General features: G+C 39.5%; 1 protein-coding gene across 26 annotated transcripts in view; it reads left to right on the top strand.

Annotated features, from left to right (window-relative positions):
* RABGAP1L (RAB GTPase activating protein 1 like) overlaps positions 1-25134 on the top strand; it is an 835789-nt gene that overhangs the window by 709860 nt on the left and 100795 nt on the right. For 4 of the 26 annotated variants that reach the window (NR_158982.1, NM_001366451.1, NM_001330989.2 and 1 more), the window contains one exon: positions 8013-8226. The exons of 18 other annotated variants lie outside the window; for them this stretch is intronic. Coding sequence is in view for 5 of the 8 variants with exons in the window: in NM_001330989.2 (NP_001317918.1) it covers positions 8116-8226 (111 nt within the window). In the remaining 3 variants the exon portion in view is untranslated. Of the gene's footprint in view, positions 1-5039; positions 5128-6138; positions 6335-7902; positions 8227-25134 lie in introns of those variants that run through there. 4 more of the 26 variants (NM_001243763.2, NM_001035230.3, NM_001366457.1 and 1 more) reach the window with 4 other exon arrangements.

Consider the following 25134-nt stretch of genomic DNA (forward strand, 5'->3'; position numbering starts at 1 on the left):
AGATCTGATGGTTTTATAAGCATCTGGCATTTCCCCTGCTTTCCCTTCTCTCTCCTGCCGCCATGTGAAGAAGGTCCTTGCTTCCCCTTCACCTTCCGCCATGATTGTAAGTTTCCCAAGGCCTCTCCAGCCATGTAGAACTGTGAGTCAATTAAAACTCTTTCCTTTATGAATTACCCAGTCTTGGGGTTTTTCTTCGTAGCAGTGTGAAAACGGACTAATACAGATGAGAAAACCAAGGAGTGAGACAACTTATGTAATTTGCTCATTGTCACTGCTATAGACTGAATGTTTGTGTCCCCCCAAAATTCACATGTTGAAATACCCAAATGTGACGATATTAAGAGACGGGATCTTTGACTGGTGATTAGATCATGCGGGTTAAGTTCTCTTGAATGAGATTAGTGCCCTTATAAAAAAAACTCCAAGGAGACCCCTTCCTCATTCTACCATGTAAGGACACAGAGAGAAGACCTCTGCCTGTGACTAGAAAACACGCTCCCACCAGACACCAAATCTGCCAGCACCTTCATCTTCCACACTCCAGAAATGTGATAAATAAATTTCTGTTGTGTATAAGTTATCCAGTCTATGGTATTTTATTCTAGTAGCAGCCCAAACAGACTAAGACAGTCACATAGCCAGTGAGTGGTGGAGCCCAGTATCAAACCAGGTTATTCTAAATTCTGGAGCCCACACTTCCTTTCTCTAATGGCATAAATGGAAGCTAGAAAGGCAGGAATTTAGTAATCTTCAATGACTGGCTTTGGCCTAATTTGTTGACCTGATATTTGCAAATTACCATAGGCTAATTTAAATCTGCCTTTGTAACTTCTGCTGTGTCCAGTATCAGTTTACCACTCTGGTCATTCTAAATTATTTTTTCCCTGTAAAAAATTATTTCACTTTGCCTATCTAAATTCAATCCATCTTTTCCATGAAGGCTTCCCCATCTGCAGAGGGACTTCATTCTATTACAGTCCTATATCACTAATTATTGTATTACATGACAGACATAGCTTTTTTTATAGTCTGTAACCTATGTATGTGTGTGAAGGAGACATCAGTGTTTGAGAAACAGCAGTGTTTGGCACATGGCTAATTCTGGTATATGTTTGCCTACTTCCTTATCCTTTAGCTTGCACACTAGAAACAGACACACCTGTTTTTTAATCCTAGCAGCTCTATTTCTAGCTGTAGGTATCGAGTCAAATCACAAAACTTCTCCATATTTTAATTATCTACAAAAAAGGAATAATTATGGTATCTAGTTTATTGATTTACAGTGAAGATGAAATGAGATTTTGTGTTTAGGACATAGTGAATACTTATTAAATATTAGCTGCCACTATTATAACTTCTTTTTTTTTTTTTTTGAGATGGAGTCTCGCTCTGTTGCCCAGGCTGGAGTGCAGTGGTGCGATCTTAGCTTACTGCAAGCTCCACCTTCCAGGCTCACGCCATTCTCCTGCCTCAGCCTCCTGAGTAGCTGGGACTACAGGCGCCTGCCACAACACCCGGCTAATTTTTTTTATATTTTTAGTAGAGATGGGGTTTCACCGTGTTAGCCAGGATGGTCTCGATCTCCTGACCTCGTGATCCACCCACCTCGGCCTCCCAAAGTGCTGGGATTACAGGCATGAGCCACCACGCCCGGCCTATTATAACATTTTTAGTAAATATTCATTGTTATAGATTATTTGTATTACTAGATTACAAAATCTGTAATCCCCCTTATGCACATTATAAGCATTTAGTAAATGTTGAGTTTTTTGTTTGTTTGTTTGTTTGTTTTTTGTTTTGAAACAGAGTCTTGCTGTGTCACCTAGGCTGGAGTGCAGTGGCGCGATCTCAGCTGATTCTCCTGCCTCAGGCTGCTGAGTAGCTGGGATTACAGGCATATGCCACCACGCCTAGATAATTTTTATACTTTTAGTAGGGACGGGGTTTCACCACGTTGGCCAAGCTGGTCTCGAACTCCTGACAGCGTGATCTGCCTGCCTTGGCCTCCCAAAGTGCTGAGATTACAGGCATGAGCCACCACACCTGGCCTGAGTTGCTTTTTTAAAATAAATAAAGATTTAATTCACATACCATCAAACTTGTCAAGTTTTAACTGCAGGTTTTAACTGCAGGATTTAACCAAGTGCCCTGCTGTAAACTGCCAGTATATAACATAATGCAGGCATGTGAGGTCCCATTGGAAAGGGAGTTATCCAGGCTGGGAGAAAAACTTGAGAGAAATGGGCACTTGCATGAAATCCTATTGCTGTTCCCTAAACCTACCCTCTGATCTTATGAAAAAACGAATATCATGTGAAATGATTTCATTTCATTTGATTGTTAGTGAAATGTTTTAAATAATTATTTGAATGCTTTAGAAATTAATGTATCGTTATTTGTAATTAGAATTCAGTTGTGCACTCTGCTCAAAATGAGACAAAGTGAAGCATTACTCATGTTTTCAGGTAAGTATGAAACTCTTCATTTTGAGTGATAACAAATATCGGTGAATGCTTACAAGCACTTGAAACATTTACTTTTGGTTAGGTAAAATTTAATGTGAATGTGATGGCGGTGGATTTTAGTTTCAAATGAGGTAAAAAGCTGAATTGTTAAAGAGTTGCATCTATTCTTTCATAGTCTGGAATCTACCTCACCCTCATTCTTTGTGGTGAGTTGCAAATGAGGCAGCAAGATACCCAGCATACCTGTTAAGCAAGTATTTATGTCCCACTGGTTTTTCTTTTTTTAGTTTAATGCTAGGTTTTTTTTTTCTTTTTTTGAACAATCTGTTTTCTGAGGTTTTGAATTTTCCTAGCAACTGCTAGGAGAGATAGGAAGGATAATGAGCTGAATGGCTGGTATTCAACACAAGAATAATGGTGTTCTTTATTTACCTTTGCATAATTTTAAAGAGAACAAGTTTACTTATCTTTTACTTGTTCTTTTCCCATTGTAAAAACTCAGTAGGTGTTACTAGACTATTCTGAAATACAAATTCTGAAAAGCTTTCTTCTGATATTTCTATGGTTTCTCATTCATATTTTCTCTTTTGTTACCTCACTTAGAGCACATGGGCTTTGTAATGTACACTGCTAAGAGTAGATAGAAACCTGCTTGGAATATTGATTTTCTGTAATTAAGAATGTATTTATAGAATTTTATCTTTCTTATAGTTCTATTTTTTTTTTTTTTAAGAGGCAGCATCTTATTCTGTCACCCAGGCTGGAGTGTAGTGGCACAATTGCAGTTCACTGTAGCCTGAACCTCCTGGGTTCCCCGCAAATAGCTGAGACTACAGGAACTTGCTACCATGCCTGGCTGATTTTTCAATTTTTTGTAAAGATGTAGTCTCACTATGTTGCCCAGGCTGGTTTTATAATACTGGGCTCAAGCAGTCCTCCTCCCTCAGCCTCCCGGGATTATGAGTGTGAGCCACCACAACCAGCCTTTCTTATAGTTATTTATCTCACTGTGAACACTGTGAACATTTTGTCATTTTGGAGATCCTTAACATTGAGTCATGTATACTTTGTGAATGTTTGCATAGAGTTACCTAGGAACATCTGGAAGAATGTTCATGAAAGATTAGAGGAGGGCCAGTCATGCAGGAGGAACAGTTTCTCCAGGGTGCTACCCATCTATATGGGGGTTGCAGAAGACCTTTCTGCCCTCTAAACCATATTTCCTTTTTTTATTTCTTTGAGACAGAGTTTTGCTCTGTCGCCCAGGCTGGAGTGCAGTGGTGCAATCTCGGCTCACTGCAACCTCTGCCTCCTGGGTTCAAGCGATTCTCCTGCCTCAGCCTCCAGGGTAGCTGGGACTACAGGCACACACCACCATGCCCGGCTAATTTTTTTGTATTTTTATTAGAGACGGGGTTTCACCATGTTGGCCAGGCTGGTCTCCAACTCCTGACCTCGTGATCCACCCGCCTCGGCCTCCAAAAGTGCTGGGATTACAGGCATGAGCCACCGTGCCTGGCCTAAGCCATATTTCTCTTGTAGTTGTTTTGTCTTTCTTTCTGTCTGATCTTGATTTTATGGGTGACGTGATGAGAATATTCAACAAGTAGAATATGAGATATAGGAAAAAGGTCTTGACTGCTACTCTCCTGAGTTGAGATAATTTTTTTTTTTTTTTTTTCCGAGATGGAATTCTCCCTCTGTCGCCCAGGCTGGAGTGCAGTGGCACAATCTTGGCTCACTGCAACCCCTGCCTCCCGGGTTCAAGTGATTCTGCTTCAGCCTCCTGAGTAGCTGGGTCTACAGGCGCGCGCCACCACGCCTGGCTAATTTTTGTATTTTTAGTAGAGGTGGGGTTTCACCATATTGGCCAGGCTGGTCTCGAACTCCTGACCTTGTGATCCACGCACCTCGTCCTCCTAAAGTGCTGGGATTACAGGTGTGAGCCACTGCGCCCGGTGAGGTGAGATAATTTTTATACTTGCTGCTTTGACTGATGTATAAAAAAATGCTACTCCCATAATGCAACTACTTTGCTGCATTGGAGAGAACACAATAGAAAAATAGCCACTTCTTATTCAAGCTTTTCTTGATTTTTGTTTCGGCTGTCTCTAAATTTGACACTTGAGAATAGATGGTTTATTTGACTCATAGTATGACCCAGGTATGCTTTTGTTAAAAAGAACAGTTCTAGGAGGATGACTGTTGGGACAAAATTAGCTACTAGTATGGAATACTCTTTCAGTGTAAAATCTCAGAACAACATTTAAAAATCATTGGAGATATTTTATTCATAAACATTTTCTTAATAAGATCCAGAAAGGGTTTATAAACCTAATAAACCTATTCGATAGGTTCTATCAAATAAACCTATTTCTATCAAATAAACCTATTTGATATCTTCTATCAAATAAACCTATTTGATAGGAGGAAATAGGAATAGGACACATTGCTTTTGACTTTCTATACCCATGTGGAAACCAGGAATCTATTCTCTCCCTCTCAATTTACATGACCATGAGGAAACTGAAACCTAGCGAAGTTAAATGACTTGCCCGGGGACGGACAGCTAGCTAGTTCCTGCTTGAACTGAGGACCATCTATTTGGTTACCGGGAGTGTGGCTGGTTTCTGTTGCCTGTTTTGATACTCTTCTCCTGGTAAGTTTTAGCTTCAAATGGTATTGTCCACACCACAGCCCTTGATCTCAGGTAATTCTCCACACCACTGCCTTTTTTTTTTTTTTTTTTTTTTTTTCCAATGCAGTTGCGTGGTGTGAAGGCGATAACTGCAGACACTCAGGTGTAAACAACCCAGGGAATCAATGGGTTGGGGGGATGGTAAAACAGGAGTTCGTAGACAGGACTGTGTACAATAGCTTCTGAAGTTTTGGAGGGTATTGGTGTAGCTGTTATTTCTGAGACCGGAGAAAATGACGGTAGAGTGACAGTTTCTCTAATCATCAGTTTTCAAAGAGTATGTTTTTCGTTGGAACCACAAATATAGTACACTTAATAAGGGGAAACGAAACCTTGAATTTTTCCTTCCCAGACTCTGAAAAGTAAAGTAAACTTTAAGGAACATTTTAAGGGTGACAAAAGGTGAAGATTGCAAATCAAACTTAGAGTGTCCCTGCTCAAGAAAATCTGTGCACTGCAGCTACAATAGAGGACCACTTGGGTTTAGAAATGACATGTTATTAATAATTCTAGTCACTGTGGCTAATTAGAACAATCTGTTGAAGGTTATAAATTATAGAAGCTTTTTAAAACATTTATCTAAGAACCTGTGTAGAATTCTAAAAGGACTGAATTATTTGAAGTTATTAGTTTCTGTGTATGTAAACTTAAACTATTTTTAAAGCCTTTGATTATTTTTCTAAAAATGTTTTTGCATGCTTATAGCCTGATGCCGTAAATGTTTTATGAGTTTAATGTACAGCACCTCTAGGTGCTATTTAAAATTGTTTTTTCTGGTCCTTTTCTTTTGGGTTATAAGGGTTCTTCGTAACCAAGAAGATTACCTATGGTTACGCTGAATGCACTCTCCCAGGGTGCATAGGCGCTGCTGAACTGCGGTTATAACTCTTGTTTGCCCCTGGGTGGTTGCCAGCAGGGAGTAAGGCATTGTGGGAAGTACTTTCTTTACCTTCCACAACAGGTGTCTTTGTCAGTGCACCTTATTCAGATATCCATGTGTGGAAGCTCTGAGTCACTGAATAGCAAAGAAAAATATGAAAGCAAGAGGAATTGCTTTCACATCTAGAAAATGTTGCAAGATAATCTGAAATCTTCTGGTGCTGGTGAATGCATGAAGAGGTTCACAGTATCTTTTAAAGTACTTCTGAAAAGATAAGGAGTTTAAAAGGTATGAACTGCCTGGACACCTTATAATGCCTTGTCTCCTGATTATCATTTAATTTTTACCTGGTTAGTCAGAGTCAGGATAAATGTGCAGGAAAAAAATGTTAACGAAAATAATGCTTAACAGACAAAGCAGCACTGTAGAACAAAAATGAAGTAAAAATGCTTTACTGACTCCAACAAGGGTCAAACACAGTTTGAAGCTGTTTTAATCTTGTGGATTTATTTAAAATATTGCATTTTTTTGTTTAAATAAGCTTATTAGATTTGCTTGTTTCCTAGCAATCAGGTGCTTTTCCCTCCTTCCTTGTGCTCGCTCTTATAAGCTAGAATGCTATAGCAGTTGTAAAACTCTACTAATTACATTTAAATGGGACAAGGTGTTATACAAGTAATCATGTTAATGTAGATGAAAAAAATACTTTTGGAAAACATGGGAAAATAACACTATAGATCTCATTCTGAGTTTTGTTTTCTGAAAAGCAAACAAATTTAGGTAACATAATCCTGCTATTGGTAATGAAGACTAAACATTTCAACTGGTTGAAATGTTTTATTTCAACTTATTTCTTTTGATTTTAGACGAACTTGCCAAATTAATTTCTAGTTCTAACAAAGAATATTTCTCATAGTAAGTACTGCAGTGTCATGATCTAGAAAAAGCAGGGAAGATACTAGCTTAATTAGGAATATTGAAAAACAACTTCAGAGAAGCCTTATCTGTCTTCCCCTTATTTTTATTTGCTTAATCCTTTTTCCATGAAATTAGTATACATTATATTTCCTGATCAAGCAACTTTGTAATGGTGATTATGGGCAACTTTCAAACTTTTCATCTGGAAATATGGCAGTTCATTTATGGTCTCCAGCTGTAATTTAAAAAGCACTACTGGTGGTTAAGCTACCAACAGTTAATGGCTATCTACTGATTTGAATAATTAAAAGAAACCCCTAGCCTTAAAGATAAAAGATGAAGAGAACTTTTATCTATGGGAGCAAAACAACCAGTTTATAAATGAGACTCTTGTATTGCTTTCTGAATAACAACACAAAACTATGCTTAAAATACTTATTTTTTTTAGTAGGAAAAGGGAGTAATGATTATTAATTGATATCGCTGTCCCTGTTTCATTTTTATGTTTTGGCATTTTTTTCTTTAACAGAAATACTCAGAGGGGAAAATTTTTTTTTTCAGACTTCAGGAGATCACTTGTACTATGAATTCTTTAAATTCTGAGAAATTAAAATGGTTTTCATCTGTTTATTTTCTAAGATTACGAAAAAATAAGCGTTAAGAACACTAAGAAAATTTACTTCTTCTCCAAGAACAATCTTCATGTAATAATACTGCAGTAAGAAGATGAGCTATTATGAAAATTTTTAATTACCAAGAACATAACACAAATCAGTTTTTTTTGTTGTTGTTATTGCTATAGGATATTTCTAGTTAGGAAACTTTATTTCTTTTTTGAAGTTTAAAGGTTTCCAAAAATTGAATTTTCCAGCTTCTCTGTTATAAATGCAGAAGGTGTTTATAGTGTATACTTCCTGCATAGATAAGAAACCTCTTTTAGTTTCCTACTGGGGGTGAATTGCTAGCCAAGCCTGTGATAGCAGCCGCTTTTTTTTTCTTTCTCTTTCTTTCTTTCTGGATTTTTGACACTCCACCCCCTCGAACTCAGGTGGGTGTGTACACTGGCACTGAGCTGCAGTAGGATTTTTCCTTGGATAGTCTGGTCTGGAGCTGGGACAGCAGCTGCTGCTGTGGAAAGGCCAGCTGGCAAGATGATGGAAGAAATCTCCATTATGGTAGCCTATGACGCCCATGTTTTCAGCCAGCTGCACGATGAAGACTTCCTCACTAGTCTGGTGGCCATCAGCAAGCCCAGGTCTATGGTAGGTGGTGCCTTGCACACTACTCTGGTTCTGTATTTTCTTTTCTAACATGATATCTATACTCCTGTAGCAACTGAGGCATAACTTGCTGTTGGCTTTGTGTTATGTCTACAGGTTTTCAAAGATTTATTTACATAATTAAACACTCATATAACAGTAGCACACTTAAAATGTTAGGCTGATGCTTTCATATATAATGAGGTTGAGAGGAATTTTAGAGTGCCAAATATCACTTTGTCTTAAGTTTCTGCCTTGTAAATATGTATATAATTATCAGGTAGGGGCTAGTTATATTTACATAGCATACAATTGAGGCTCATAGAAGTGTAACGTTTCTACCAGTGAGTAATAACATCATCTGAGAATTGAGCTACCTAAACATCAGGTAACTTTCAGGGTCTTAAATTATTACTAAGAAGAACTATTAGGAAAATAACAGTACAATTTTAGTTTGGCTTTAATATTTGTAAAAAAAATTTGCCATTCTCTCAGGATCTTAGTGTGTGTGCATGTCCTGGCATAATCAAAAACGGAAGTTCTTGCAAGTGTTTATTGTTTCTTCTCTTAGATGTCATCATTATAATGGCTATTGAGTTTAAGATATCAACGATCTATACCTCTGAAACCAACTTTTTTTTGAGATGGAGTTTCGCTCCTATTGCCCAGGTTGGAGTGCAATGGCATGTTCTTGGCTCACCGCAGCCGTTGCCTCCTGGGTTCAAGCAACTCTCCTGTCTCAGCCTCCCTAGTAGCTGGGATTACAGGCATGCGCCACCATGCCTGGCTAATTTTGTATTTTTAGTAGAGATGGGGTTTCTCCATGTTGGTCAGGCTGGTCTCAAACTCCTGACCTCAGGTGATCCGCCTGCCTCACCTCCCAAAGTGCTGGGATTACAGGCATAAGCCACCACGCCCGGCCCCCAAAATCAACTTTTTAACTACAATTGTAGTAACTTCTTATTATATTTAATATGACTCATCACAAACAACAGAATGAAAGAGTATATCATAACATTTAAACCTAACTAATATGAAGACCTACTTCTCTATTTTAAGGCACAGGAACCTTAAAAACATGGCTATTTCTTGAAACAACAAATTACAAAAAATAAAAATAAAAAAATAAAGGAGAAAGCTATAGATTGATTTTAAAAGACTTAAGGGTTATATCAACCAGATGCAATAAATCAACGTTGTTTAAATGCTAATTTGAACAAAGTATAAAAAGAACTGTAAGATAATTGAGAAAAATTTGAATTTGACCACTCATTAGGTATTTAATAATGATATTAAGAGAATTATGTAATTTTTTGTGCATTGTTTTTTTTTTTTTTTTTTTTTTTTTGACATGGAGTCTCCCTCTTGTTGCCCAAGCTGGAGTACAGTGACACGATTTCAGCTCACTGCAACCTCCGCCTTCTCAGGTTCAAGTGATTCTCCTGCCTCAGCCTCCTGAGTAGCTGGGACTACAGGCACCTGCCAACACGCCTGGCTGTTTTTTTTTTTTTTTTTTAAGATGGAGTCTCGCTCTGTTTCCCAGGCTGGAGTGCAATGGCACGATCTCAGATCACTGCAACCTCCGCCTCCCATGTTCAAGTGATTCTCCTGCTTCAGCCTCCCAAGTAGCTGGGACTACAGGTGCACACCACCATGCCCAGCTAATTTTTGTATTTTAGTAGAGACAGGGTTTCACCATGTTGGCCAGGGTGGGCTCAAGCTCTTGATCTTGTGATCTACCCGCCTCGGCCTCCCAAAGTGCTGGGATTACAGGCGTGAGTCACGGTGCACAGCCTTTTTTTTTGTATTTTTAGTAGAGACGGTATTTCATCATGTTGGCCAGGATGGTCTCAAACTTCTGACCTCATGATCCACCCACCTTGGCCTCCCAAAGTGCTGGGATTGCAGGTGTGAGCCACTGCACCCGGCTGATACTATGATTTTTTTAAATGGTCATTTAGAGATATATATTGAATAGTTTTGGATGAAATGTCTGCAGAGATTCAAAATGAACCAGTAGATTATGTGTTGATAATTATTGAAACTGGGTGATAAGTATTAATACATAGTGATTCATTATATTCTCTCCACTTTTGTAGAGATGCAGTTTAAAAGAATCAGCTGGAAGACAAAAAAAAGCAAAAAGATTTGCAAAAAGCAAAACAGATATAAAACTGTAATATAATCAATAAAACTGTAATATACTCAGCCAGGTGTGGTGGACCACTCCTGTAGTCCCAGCACTTCGGGAGGCTGAAGCAGGCAGATCACTTGAGGCCAGGAGTTCAAGACCAACCTGGCCAACATGGTGAAACCTTGTCTCTACTAAAAATAACAAAGATCAGCCAGGCATAGTGGCGCATGCCCATAATCTCAGCTACTCAGGAGACTGAGGCATGAGAAATGCTTGAACCCAGGAGGTGGATGTCACGGTGAGCTGAGACAGAGCAAGACTCTGTCTCAAAAAAAAAAAAAGGAAAAAAAAACACCATAATATCTTTCTGGAAGTGTTAATAGAGAAACATCTGACCTGTTGCATGCTTTCCTTGTATAATATACATAATTTATGTTTTTATAATTACATATATTATATGAAGATTATTGCCAACCCCCTAGTTAACTACAATATACACTATAACTGAATCAGGATAGGATAATCCACGGTTGTAGATAATCTTTAAATTTTATTTTAGTCATTGATTTTACAATATTCCAACATGAAAGCTTATCCAGAGAATTCAGAATATGGCCACGTGCTGTGACTCATGCCTGTAATCTCAACACTTTGGGAGGCCAATGCAAGAGGAAGAGGATTCCTTGAACCCAGGAATTCAAGACCAGCGTAGGCAACATAGAGAGACCTCATCTCTACAGAAAAAAAAAAGAGGATCTTGAGAGGACCATCATAAATAAACAGAATTCTCTTTTTTTTTCTTTTCTTTCTTTCCTTCTTTCTCCCTCCCTCCCTCCCTCTCTTCCTTCCTCCCTGCCTCTCTTCCTTTTTTGAGACAAGGTCTCACCATGTCACCAAGGCCTGAGTGCAGTGGTGTGATCATAGCTCACTGCAGCCTCAAAGTCCTGGGCTCAAGCAGTCTTCCCACCTCAGCCTCTCCTGAGTAGCTGGGACTACAAGTGCACATCACTGCCCCCGGCTAATTTTTTTTTAAAGAGGTAGGGTCTTGCTATGTTGCCCAAGCTGGTTTTGAACTCTTGGGCTCCAGCAATCCTCCCACCTCAGCCTCCCAGAGTGGTGGGATTACATGTATGAACCATCACACCCAGCCAAGAGCCTCTTAAGAGGTCTGAGCTGAGTCTTCAAAAACTAACAGGAGTTTTCTAGGCCAAAGGAGAAAAGAAACAAATACAGAGATGTGAAGCAGCAGAGTATAGAGGACAGTGATGGCTGAAGAGGTGGACAGTGACCAAGTCATAGGGAACATCCTATGCTCAATAAGTATAGGACGTTGTGTGTTTGTATGTGTATGGACGCAGGCACATAAGAGACTGGGAGGGAGAAAAAAATGAATGAATTAATATAAATGTGCTTATCAGGAAACACTCTTCCATTTGTAGATTGTGTGTATATTATGGCTCAATGCAACCCTAGCTGCACCAAAGGGAATTCCCACTCCTAACCCTGTAGCTCATTTTTAAATAGAATTTGTTGACTAATATGGAAAAGCCTTGGAGTTCTGATAGAAACACATAATATTGTTTTATATATCAAACTTTTAAATAATGCAGATCTTGGGGTATTATAAAACTTTCTGAAGATATTTAGTTTTATCAGATTTGAAATTTAAAATCGTCTTTTGGAGGTAATATTTGGGTTTGGTTCATCTGGAAAAGTTATTCTAAAATTGTGCAAGATAAAAATATATATCATTTGCTTTTTTTTTTTTTTTTTTTTTTTTAAATATGGAGTCTCGCTCTGTCACCTAGGCTGGAGTACAGTGGCACGATTTGGGATCATTGCAACCTTCGCCTCCTGGGTTCAAGCAATTCTTCTGCTTAAGCCTCCCCAATAGCTAGGATTGCAGGTGCTAGCCACCATGCCCAGCTAATTTTTGTATTTTTAGTGGAGACAGGATTTCACTATGTTGGCCAGGCTGGTCTTGAACTTCTGACCTCAAGTGACCCGCCCGCCTCAGCCCCCCAAAGTGCTGGGATTATAGGTGTGAGCCACCATACCTGGCCTCATTTGCTTTTAATTCCATGTTGAATTTTTTGCTTTGAGATGAACATTTTTTCATCAAACATTTTGTTTTTTTGTTTTGAGATGCAGTTTCGCACTTGTTGCCCAGGCTGGAGTGCAATGGCATGATCTCAGCTCACCGCTATCTCTGCCTCCCGGGTCCAAGAGATTCTCTTGCCTCAGCCTCCTGAGTATCTGGGATTATAGGCATGCGCCACCATGCCTGGCTAATTTTGTATTTTTAATAGAGACGGGGTTTCTCCATGTTGGTCAGGCTGGTCTCGAACTCCTGACTTCAGTTGATCTGCCCACCTCGGCCTCCCAGAGTGCTGAGATTACATCAATCTGATAACTGCACTGTGAAGCAAATTACACTCTTGCTAACTTATAAAATCCTCCTTAGGTTTGGGTTCATTATTAAGGGTATTTAGAAACTTTCTTAGTACAGGCTTAATTAAATATCTTTCTGTAATTGGACTTTGTTGCATAATGGGAGGTGTTTTGATTCCTTGAATGGTAAAAATCCGATTAAATACAGTGGTTCTCAGGTGTGGATACTGCATTTTTTTCTTATTCATAAGTAACCCTGTGTCTTTCTTATGTTTTTGGTAGGAATCTGTAGTAAAATATACCTTGCAAGCTGTTACATACACAAAACTGAAAGAAAATTTGACTAAACAATACCTGCTGTTGCCACATGTTATGTATGAAGGGGATTTTTCTGTTTTATTCAATCGTTTAAAGGCTTTAATTGTTTATGACCCACTAAATTGAATTCAGAAATCTCTCTATCCACACTTTGGAAAATATGATTATATCCTATTGAGTCCTTAAAAGTAAATGTTGATGCAAGAAAATCACAGACCCCTTTACATAAATTACAGATAAGAAAAAACAATAAGGAAGCCAAGCATAACTTCTTATGTCTTCCATATCATACACACATGAGCAAACTAAGAAATTACCTAGACCAATATTGTTTACTGTGATAACCTAAACAAAAGCCTAGTCACTACTAGCAGAACATAAGAGCTTTTTTTTTTTTGGAGACAGAGTGTGGCTCTGCCACCCAGGCTGGAGTGCAGTGGCTTGATCTCTGCTCACTGCAACCTCCGCCTCCCAGGTTCAAACAATTCTGCCTCGTCCTTTTGAGTAACTGGGACTACAGGCACACACCACCATGCCTGGCTAATTTTTGTATCTTTAGTAGAGATGGGGCTTTCACCATGTTGGCCAAGCTGGTCTTGAACTCCTGACCTCAGGTGATCCACCTGCCTCGGCCTCCCAAAGTGTTGGGATTACAGGTGTGAGCCACCACGCCTGGCCTCTACTGGGGGTTTTAAAGTTACACAGTTCTCAGTTCAAGTTTTAGATTCGCTACTTACCAGTGAGCTAAGTAACTTCTCTAAGCCTTGGTTTTCTCATCTGAAAACTGAGAGACATAATAGTATTACCTCATTGGAATACCATGAGGTTATTTGAGAGCACTTGTAAAGTATTTAGCACAGTGAAAGCTGTAACTAATTGTCTCCTTTTCTAATAAGGGAGGAACTAATCAGACTATTTGAAGAAGGTCTAAAGGAAGAAGTGGGATGAATAGATAAGGCACCCTGGAGACGCAGGAGGAGTTGGGAGGACAAAAGGAGAAAATGAACTAGTTGGGTTACCCTGGAGAATTACTTTGCTTGATTAGGGAATCACTATCAGGATACCAGTCCTACAGGAAACTTGAAGCCTTCTGCCCTGAAGATGGTGCTGAAGATCTTAGGTTTGAGCTCAGAAGGGTGGGAAGGCAATGTAGAACCAATAGAAGGGAGTATATATAGGCCAAACCTTCTGATGAGTAGATGAGATCAAATTACTGCAGCAGGAATCTTGCAGTAATGAACTGGCAGGGCCCACATTGACCAAGGAAAAAAATTGTAAAGGACATTAGAGCAATGCAAGTAAAAAGAGATGACAAGTGTCTGGACTTAGACACTTGACAGTGGGAGTGTAAATAGAGATTAGTCTACACATGTTGGTTAGTTCTCACAAAGGGAATATACATTAATATTATTTAGGAAGAAGCAGCAACTGATGTTATGAGAAGAGTAAATGATTGAGATAAGTTGAAAATTAAGCTTCCAGCCATACAAAAGTGGAGATTGCTATAGTGTCAAAAGTCTTTGGGAATGGGAAAGTTAGGTTATCAAGAATAGAATGGAGGAAAAATGACCCATTCTGGCTTTACCATGTTCCACATCTAGAAATTCAAGGTCACAGTATCACGGTAAGAGAATTGATTGTCCAGTGGTTAGAACACTGCCCTTTAACAAAAGCCATTTAATCAGACTAACACATGGCTATACTATATTGGCACTGGATAGATATTCTTCACTGACAGAAACCAAAATAGCAGCACTGTGCCAGCAAAGGAAGGGAGCTCTTTCTTGGAGCTACAGTTTCTCTTTCTATAAATGGGAGACGAGGGTAAGCATTCTGTAATTACTTCCTCCTTATCGGATTGGCACAGATTTCATCAAGCATGCCAAATTAAAAAACAAAATTCAGAGCAATTCCATATGTCAGAGATGGAGAAAACAATAAAATCAATACTGTTATTTCTAAATCTTTACTAGATATACATTTCAAATATTGATTAGAATAAACATAACAATTAAGATTCATCCATATTTTTTAAAAATGTTATCTGAATATTTTTTATTCTCATTGTTACATAGCAAGTGCACATTTTGGCACTATATCAATTTCAGTTCAGTTCAAGCATCCAACCAATCATTTGGTTGATCAGTTCTAATGAGTTAAGGTTCTTATAGTTGCAAGTAATAAAATCTTGTGCTATCTTAAATAAGAAAGGGATTTTATCACGTGGACAGCAAAGTGTGTTCCTTTAAATGCAAGGGCAGTTCATCTAGGCAACAGAGCTGGTACTGGACTGATGCTGGCAACCATTCTCCCTATCTCTTGCCATCTAATTAAAACTTCTCTCTTGACATCTACTTTATTTCTCTGTCTCCAACTTCTTGGCTTCTTTATTTCTATGGCAGAATATTGCTGCTACACAGCATCCAGATTTATAGTTCTACCATCTGAATCACAACTCCATATTTCTTTGGTGAGAATCTGACCGAGTAATGTTAGGTGAGTTTTGTGATAGTATAGAGCAGAGCCCCTGAGCACACACTCAAACTAAACTGCCTGGGTCCAATCCTACCTCACTTGCAATTAGCTCTATGACTTTGGGCAGATTACTTAATCTCAAACCTCATTTTTCTCATCTGTAAAATTGGAGTCTGCAAGAGAAAGTAGTCCGGACTGAAATCGGCCAGAAGTCCCTCTCATGTTATATCTAAAGTAAACCTATCTTTAACTGCCAAGCTGTGTTTCGTGTTTCTTTCCTCTTTCTTTAACTCTTACAGAATCATGTTAGTAGTACCTGTAAGATTAAATCAAAATTAAGTTTAAATTTAAATTAAATCAGTAATATATGTAAAGCACTTAAGAAAATTAATTGTCAATATATGTAAAGCACTGGATACCTAGCACATAGAAAGTGGCATGTGTATGTTAGTTATTATTCCAAATTGATTCTTTTATTATTTATGAATGAATGAGACAAGGTCTGTCGCTCACTGCTGCCTCAACCTCCTAGGATCAGGTGATCCTCTCTCCTTAGCCTTCCAAGTAGCTAGGTGTACAGGTGCATGTCACCGTGCCTGGCTAATTTTTTATTTTTGTAGAGATGGGGTTTCACTGTGTTGACCAGGCTAATCTGGAACTCCTGAGCTCAAGTGATCCTCCCCCCTCGGCCTCCCAAAGTGCTGAGATTACAAGCGTGAGCTACCACACCTGGCCTGGTTAACAGAAATTTAAAATGATGATTAAGACCAGGCGTAGTTGCTCACGCCTGTAATCCCAGCACTTTGGGAGGCTGAGGCGAGTGGATCACGAGGTCAGGAGATCGAGACCATCTTGGCTAACACAGTGAAACCCCGTCTCCACTAAAAATACAAAAAATTAGCCGGGCATGGTGGCGGGCGCCTGTAGTCCCAGCTACTCGGGAGGCTGAGGCAGGAGAATGGCGTGAACCTGGGAGGCGGAGCTTGCAGTGAGCCGAGATCGCACCACTGCACTCCAGCCTGGGCGACAGAGCAGGACTCCATCTCAAAAAAAATAAAAACAAAACGATGATTAAATTATTAGAGAAACCAATTTTTTTTTTTTTTTTTTGAGACAGAGTTTTGCTCTTGTTGCCCACGCTGGAGTACAATGGCATGACCTCAGCTCACTGCAACCTGTGCCTCCCAGGTTCAAGCAGTTCTCCTACCTCAGCCTATGGGTAGCTGGGATTACAGGCATGCACCACCACGCCTGGGTAATTTTGAAATTTTAGTAGAGAGAGGGTTTCTCCCTGTTGGTCAGGCTGGTCTCGACCTCCCGATCTTAGGTGGTCTTCCCGCCTTGACCTCCCAAAGTGCTCAGATTACAGGCGTAAGCCACCGCGCCTGGCGAGAAACCAATATTACATCAAAACTCACCACAGTGCGCAAGCTGAACGTGTAATCAAATTGTAGTACTCAAACTCATTGCAAGGACTTCAAGCTTATTTACAAACAGGATTTACAGCAAACAAAACAGTGTAGCCCTGTAATTGTAATGCCCACAATAGGATTTCTGGCAGGCTGAAATACAGAAGCCCTCTTATCCGACACAGTCAGGGCTGTAGTTGGTTTATAGAAAAAGTTGGTTCAGGAGAAGAAGGATAAAAATTGCTACATACTAACTTAAACATTTGTTTTTACTTAAAACTTCCATTATCAATTTTGCTTTAAGGCCTTTAATGCTCTTTGTTTGCTTCGGAATTCTGAAATCCATATGCCTTCTAGTTTCAGTTTCCTTAAGAGGGGCAGTAAATTAATAAATGTGTCAAGCAGTCTAAGGGCAAATTTGATAGAGATTTTCATAACTTTTTTCTTTACATTTTTTATGGCAGCATTGCCACCATTTAATTCTTTTTTTTTTCTTTTTTTTTGAGACAGGGTCTCATTCTGTCTGGCGTGCAATGGCGCAATCTCGGCTTACTGTAACCTTCGCCTTCCAGGTTCAAGCAATCCTCTTGCCTCAGCCTCCTGATTAGCTGGGATTTCAGGCATGTGCCACCACGCCCAGCTAATTTTTGTATTTTTAGTAGAGATGGGATTTCACCATTGGCCAAGCTGGTTTCAAACTCCTGACCTCAAGTGATCTGCCCACCTTGGCCTCCCAAAGTGCTGGGATTATAGGCGCGAGCCACCACGCCTGGCCTCACGCTTTGGCTTTTGTCCATGTTCCATTGACCAAACAAATCAAAAGGCCACTTCCAACATCCTGGAGAAGAAAAGGGTACTCCACAATAGGAGTTGTGGGAGGGGAAAGTGAGTATTTGCTGAACAATAGTCTACCACATATATAATTGACCTAACTGACCCTTCATATGATCACCATGGTTAGGTTAGCTGTGTAAAATATATAAGCACTGTGTTTCTCAATAGTACACTTATATAATATTCACAAAAATTGCACATGCACAGATTCATCATCAAAAAATGACATATACTCATTGAAAAATGAGATAAAATTGAAAATTCAGACTTACCAGTCTTTTACCATTATTCATTTTACTGGAAACTTTAAAGTGAATTGGCACTCTTTTTTCCCCATCCCTTCCAAAGGTAATTAAGAAACAGAAATCTCTTGCCAATGTTTCTAGGGTATGCCAACATTGTTATCTCAACCTGATCCATATTTATAGCCCAGGGATTTGCAAAAACTTGGGGGGGGGGTCATGGATTCCTTTGGCAGTGTAGTTAAGTCCATGGACCCCTTATCAGAAAAAAATGTTTTTAAATGTGTAACATAAAATAGATAAGACTACAAAGGAAATCAATTGTATTTAAATACAATTACTAAAATAGGCCAGGTGCGGAGGCTCACACTGTAATCCCAGCACTTTGGAAGGCTGAGGTGGGCTGATCACTTGAAGTCAGGGGTTCAAGACCAGCCTGGCCAACATAGCAAAACCCAATCTCTACCAAAAAAATACAAAAATTAGCTGGGTGTGGTGGCATGCGCCTGTAATTCCAGCTACTCGGGAGGCTGAGGCAAGAGAATTGCTTGAACCTGGGAGGCAGAGGTTGCAGTGAGCTGAGATCACGCCACTGCACTCCAGCCTGGGGGACAGAGCGAGACTTCATATCAAAAGAAAAAAAAAATACGATTACAAAAATAGACAGAAATCAGATTTATGATATGGTAATAAGTACTTCTTTATTAAACACATTAAATAGCAAGAAATGGTAGTGAGGCTACTATAAATGCAAAATAATTTTGAGATATATGTAATACATATAATGTGAATGAAAATATCTGTGGTATCTATAGGTGGCAAAATCACAAATAACACAGTGGATTATTGGCTACATTTATAATGGAAGGAATTGATAAATTTCAGTTAGAGGTTCAGGAAAATAGTTTTTTTCCATCTAAGTTCAATTCAATGAACTCCCTCCACATACCCCTAATATAACCTTTATCTGATACTGTCTGAGACACAAAGATTTTTACAAGTCTTTTCTTTCCTTACAGTGGGCTAGGAGAAATCTTGATCATGCCTTCCACTTTCTCTCTTCCTCTTAATGGTATAGAAAATTACTTGTGTGATTATTTAATGAATCTCTCATTAACCTATAACTTCCCTATGTCAGCTTTTTTTATTTTGGAAACAGAATCTCACTGTGTCGCCCAGGCTGGAGTTCAAGTGATTCTCATGCCTCAGCCTCCCAAGTAGCTGGGATTACAGGTGTGCACCACCACGCCCAGCTAATTTTTGTATTTTTTTAGTAGAGATGAGGTTTCCCCATGTTGGCCAGACTGGTCTCAAACTCCTGACCTCAAGTGATCCACCCACCTTGCCTCCCAAAGTGCTGGGATTACAGACGTGAGCCACCATGCCCGGCCAGCTATTTCTGTTTTTACCATTGTATTTCCAGCCCAGCATTGTGCCTGGGGGAATTATACACACTCTGTACATATTTAATGAATATATTGGGGGAAGATGAAATCCCACATAGTTACAATCATAATCTTCAATATGTTTGTGACAATTAAATACATTCATGTGTGTGTGTATGCATAAGATATGGAATTTATTTTTAAATCTTTTTATCCTTAGACCCATATACTAAGTTCTTATGATTGTGGAATCAGGTTAGAGTCTAGCTGAGTACTTAATTAGCTCTTTTGTTTTCTTTTTTTGAATTTTTGTTTTATTTTTTAATTTTAATTTTAACTTTTTTTTTTTTTGAGATGGAGTCTCGCTCTGTCACCCAGGCTGGAGGGCAGTAGCATGATCTCGGCTCACTTCAACCTCCGCCTCCGGGGTTCAAGCCATTCTTCTGCCTCAGCCTCCTGGGTAGCTGGGACTACAGATGCCTGCCACCACACCAGGCTAATTTTTGTATGTTTAGTAGAGACAGGGTTTCACCATATTGGGCAGGCTGGTCTCGAACTGTTGACCTTGTGGTCCGCCCGCCTCAGCCTCCCAAAGTGCTGGGATTACAGGCGTGAGCCACCGCGTCCGGCCCTGTTTTATTTTTATTTGAGACAGGTTCTCTCTCTGTTACCCAGTCTGGAGTGCAGTGGCGTGATAATGGCTCACTGCAGCCTCGAACTCCTGGGCTCAAATGATCCTCCTGCTTCAACCTCTCAAGTAGTTGGGATTATAGGTGCATGTCACCATACCTGGCTAATTTTTTTGTTTGTTTTTTTTTGTAGAGATGGGGGTGTCTCACATTGTTGCTTAGGTTGGTCTTGAACTTCTGGCTTCAAGCAATCCTCCCACCTCAGCCTCTCATAGTGCTGGGGTTGCAGGCATGAACCACTGTGACCAGCCTTTCTATTCTTTTTTGAGATAGTGTCTCTTACTCTGTCACCCAGGCTGGAGTACAGTGGTGCAATCACGGCTCACTGCGGCCTCAAATGCTTGAGTCCAAGTGATTCTCCCTCCTCAGGCTCCCAAGTAGCTAGGACTGCAGGCACATACCACCATGCCCAGCTAATTTTTTCCTTTTCTTTTTCTTTTTGTAGAGAGGGAGCCTCACTATGTTGCTTTGGCTGGTTTTGAACTGCTGGGCTCAAGTGATCCTCCTGCCTTGACTTCCCAAAGATTACAGGTGTGAGCCACCACTCCCAGCCTTAATTAGCTCTTAACTGTTTCAAAAATCAAACAAACGAACAAAAAAATGCAGTGATTATTTCTGTTATACTTTTATTTAGTGGTTCATTTAACATGTATACCTCCTACGTGCATAGCACTGTGTTAAGCTTTGAGACATCGTCAAAGAGATAACAGTCCAGTTTGGGAGACAGCCATGTAAACAGCCGTGTATGAGTCAGTGATGTGAGCACTGTTAGAAATGTGTAGGTGCTGTTTGTCCTATATGCTCCTGTCACACCTTGCACCCTGTGAACTAACTGAAATGGGATATTCTATCTGCTTTTCTGAGTTGTACACTGAAGTTCATTTTCCTTGTGGGTTGTTTTATTTCTTCTCTCTCTCCCTACCATAGTACCTGGCACATAGTGTCAGCAGCCAGTAAGGTTCTAATTATTGAATAAAGGAATGGTGGAGATAATTAGAGATATTTTCATAAAGATGTAGACACTTTTTAAAGTACAGGTTTTGATTTTTAAGCTCTTACAATTTTACTTTATAAATAATACATGCACACAGTATCAGAATTTCAACAAATATGAAATGATATCCAGTGAAGTTACCTACCCATTCCTGTTTTCCCAGCAGTTTTAGTAGTTTTTTTTAGAAGTATCCTTCTATAAATATTTTTATACATGCAAACAAATTTATATGTGTTCTCTTTTTTCAGAGCTCTTGGTGGCCCTTTTATGTTCTGTACTTTGCTTTTCTCACTTAACAGTATGTGTTGATTTTTCTATGTCAGTTCATGAAGGGTGTCCTTGTTCATTTGAAAGCTACATAGTATTTCACTGTATAGATTTCTATAATATGTGTAACCAACTCCCTCCCACTCTGTGAGTGTGTAGGTTGTTTTCAATATTTTGCTCCTACAATACTGCAGTGAGTAATCTTATATAACATTTCACAAAAGTGTGTGAGTATATCTGTAGATTAAATTCCTAGGAGTGGAACTGCTGGGTTGAAGGATACATTCATTTGTAATTTTGATAGATAAGGCCAAATTGTTTTCCTTAAAGGTTATATTAGTTAATATAACTACCAGCAGTGTATATCTGTGCCTATTTAAAGGTGGAAACTTTTGAACAGGAATCTAAGAAAAAATAGGAATTTATCAGATTGTCAGGGGACGGGAAAGATGTTCCAGGCAGAAGGAATAGCACTTTGAGAGGCACGGGATAGAAAGATGGCACAAGAGGATTTTTAACTTATTCCATCTGGCTAAAATGTAGGGGGTAGGCCAGGAAATAGAGAGTGGGAGTTGATCATGATAGGTTGTGTATGTAATGCTGAGTAACTGATATTTTAAATTCTATAAATGAAGGTTTTGAGTAGGGAAATGATATAATAAGGTTGATTAATGTATTTTATTAAAAGAATAGCTATTTGTGTGTATTTATTTAAATTGAAGTTTGCCAAAAAGGTGTAGTCCCTAAAGATTTTTCTTGCTTTTTTTGTTTGTTTATTTGGAGACAGGGTCTTACTCTGTTGCCCAGGCTCGTGTGCAGTGGTGATCAGATCATAGCTCACTGCAGCCTTGAAATTCCAGGTTTGATCCTCCCACCTCACCCTCCCAAGTAGCTGGTACTACAGGCACATGCCACCATGCCTGGCTAATTTTTAAAACATTTTTTGTAGAGATAGGGTCTCGCTATGTTGCTCAGGCTGGTCTTGAACGCCTGGCTTCAAGCAATCCTCCAGCCTCAGCCTCCCAAAGTGCTGGGATTATAGGTGTGAGCCACCACACTCAGCCTTTTCTTGGATTTAAATGAGGTTTTCTTTTTACTAAGGATTCAAATAATATGTTGACTATAGAAAATTTTGAAAACACATAGAAATAAAAACTGAAACACAGAAAGAAAATACAGAAGTTACTCATAAGTTTACTACTCTGAGGTAATCTCCCTATCCAAATAATTCCTGTTGTCTATAAAACAATAAAAGAAAATCAATATATGTATTAGGTGGGTTAGAAAATACAAAGTGGGCCACAGTCCGGGTGGGCATGGTGGCCGCAGCGGTAGCTGGAGCCTCTGCGACTACACCTCCAACCGGCCTGGAGCCCGTGGCTTCCCTGGCTCCTGCAAGCATCTCGCGTGGTGGCTCTGGCCAGCTCCAGCACTCGGGTTGGGCCGGATGACCAGAGGCCTGTAGCTACCAGCTGCCCTCTCCCGCCTGGGCTCAGCCGCCACCCGTGAGCGAACTCAGCCCGGGACACAGCACACTTATCAAGTGGGTCCCATTTTTAGCCACTTGCTATTTCAGCCATTGCTGAAAAGTCTAGTGGGAAGGAACCAACTGGAGAGTCAGAGGGAGAAATTAGTTTCTATTTCCAGCTCCACCACTATAATCCCTGGTTGAAGAAATATGAATATCAACACGAAATTGTTCATCAGCGTTATTTGTGCCAGCTTTTTCACCTTCCAGCTTCTTTTCTACTTTGTAAGTTACTGGTTTTCACAAAAGTTTCTCCAAGTTTCAATAGTCTTAGCTTTGAAAAGAAGATTGAATGGAACTCAAGGGTGGTATTTACATGCCATTCTTTGGTGGTTGGTGTTCTTGGCCTGTACATTTTCTTATTTGATGAGGCTGCTAAAGCTGATCCACTTTGGGATGGTCCATCACTTGCAAACGTGAATATTGCTATTGCTTCAGGCTACCTCATTTCTTTGTTTTCTTTCTTTTTTTTTTTTTTGTGATGGAGTTTTGCTCTTGTCGCCCAGGCTGGAGTGCAATGGCATGATCTTGACTCACTGCAACCTCCGCCTCCCAGGTTCAAGCGATTCTCCTGCCTCAACCTCTCGAGTAGCTGGGATTACAGGCGCCCGCCACCTCACCCAGCTAATTTTTTTTTTTTTTTTTTTTTTTTTGTATTTTTAGTAGAGACAGGGTTTCACCATATTGTCCTGGCCCCGAACTCTTGACCTCATGTGGTCTGCCAGCCTCAGCCTCCCAAAGTGCTGGGGTTACAGGCATGAGCCACCACGCCCAGCCAGGCTACCTCATTTCTGATTTGTCCATTATCATTTTGTATTGGAAAGTGATTGGTGACAAATTTTTTATAATACATCATTGTGCGGCCCTGTGTGCATACTGCTTTATACTGATATTAGTGAATAAGAAGTTTAATTTGGCATAATTTCTTCAAGAATCAGATATATCGAAACATCTCTCCAGACCACCCATTTGGAATCACGATATAAATAATTATAAATGTTTTAAAAACTGCTTCAGTTCTCTTGGCCACTGAAATCACAGGCTTAGCCTGGCTGTGCGTGGATTGGCAAGCTGAATGTTTAATTATGTGGGGTGACTATTATTTTCTCTTTGGACTTTTATGCCTTTAAAATAAAATAAAATAAAATAGAAAATACAAAGTGGTTTCCAAAGACAATCACTTGTTAAGAGATTCTTGTGATTCCTCCTAGGAAGAAAGAAAAAAACAAAAGTGATGCATATACCTGCATAAATTACAGCATAATTGTTAATGTAGAGCTGTACAACAAATATCTTCTCTTTAAATATACGAATGTCTTTTAAAGACAGAAAGAACTGTTTTATTTTCTTTGAGGGCCTCACTACAAGCCTTTTAGATAGATCCAGATAACATGTTCTACTTTCCCTCTTTGCAACACTTCGCTAGCAGGTACTTCCTAATCAGGATCTTGACAACTATCAGCCACATAGAATACTTGGAAGGAGGTTAACTTTTCATACTCAAAAGCTCTCTTCTGGAAGAATCCTAATATTATTAATAGCAAGTCTTCCACTTGTAGGGCCTGTTGGAACAGTTTGTGACAAATCCTTCCCAGACTGTTCTTTGAGTATACAAATTAATATCTCCAAGTCACTGATACTCTGAGCACATGCATCCTGCTGCTAGGGAAGTGCATTAAGGTACCTTCAAAACCTTTTTTCCTCTGTAATTACATCCTAAAAATTACACTGGAGGGTGGGCTGGGGTGGAGGGAAGGTCCCAGGTGCATTTACTGAGCTATCTGTCAAAGTCCACCAAGCTAGTAGATTGTGACCACAATTTTGATAATTTCGGATTCCATATCTGCAAGGCAGTGTTAAAACTACACAATACCTGATAAATGCTAGAATGAGGATAATTCCTCTAAATAGTTAACATTTAACCAGAAGCTCTACAGTGCTCTCCAACCTAACAGTCACACATTAATTTATTCCTTCATGTAAAAGAATCATTTTTATTGCTGCTGCCTGAAAGGTACAAATTGCTTGGGTGTAGGCTGCTCAGCTTCCTTCTTACTAAAGAGACAGGAAATATATCTTCCATTTAAAGTGTTAATGGCATCTATAAATGTGTAGTCCAATTTGTTATTGACTTGAACTCTTCAAAGATTTGAGAAACAAGGTTTAACTTTAGCACTCAAGATTGTTACACAAGAATTAAATGTTTTCAATGACTACCTTTTGTAGTGTTGGGAAGGGTGCAAAA

The sequence above is a fragment of the Homo sapiens genome, chromosome 1 (assembly GCF_000001405.40).
Source record: "Homo sapiens chromosome 1, GRCh38.p14 Primary Assembly".
In the NCBI taxonomy this organism is placed as follows: domain Eukaryota; kingdom Metazoa; phylum Chordata; class Mammalia; order Primates; family Hominidae; genus Homo; species Homo sapiens.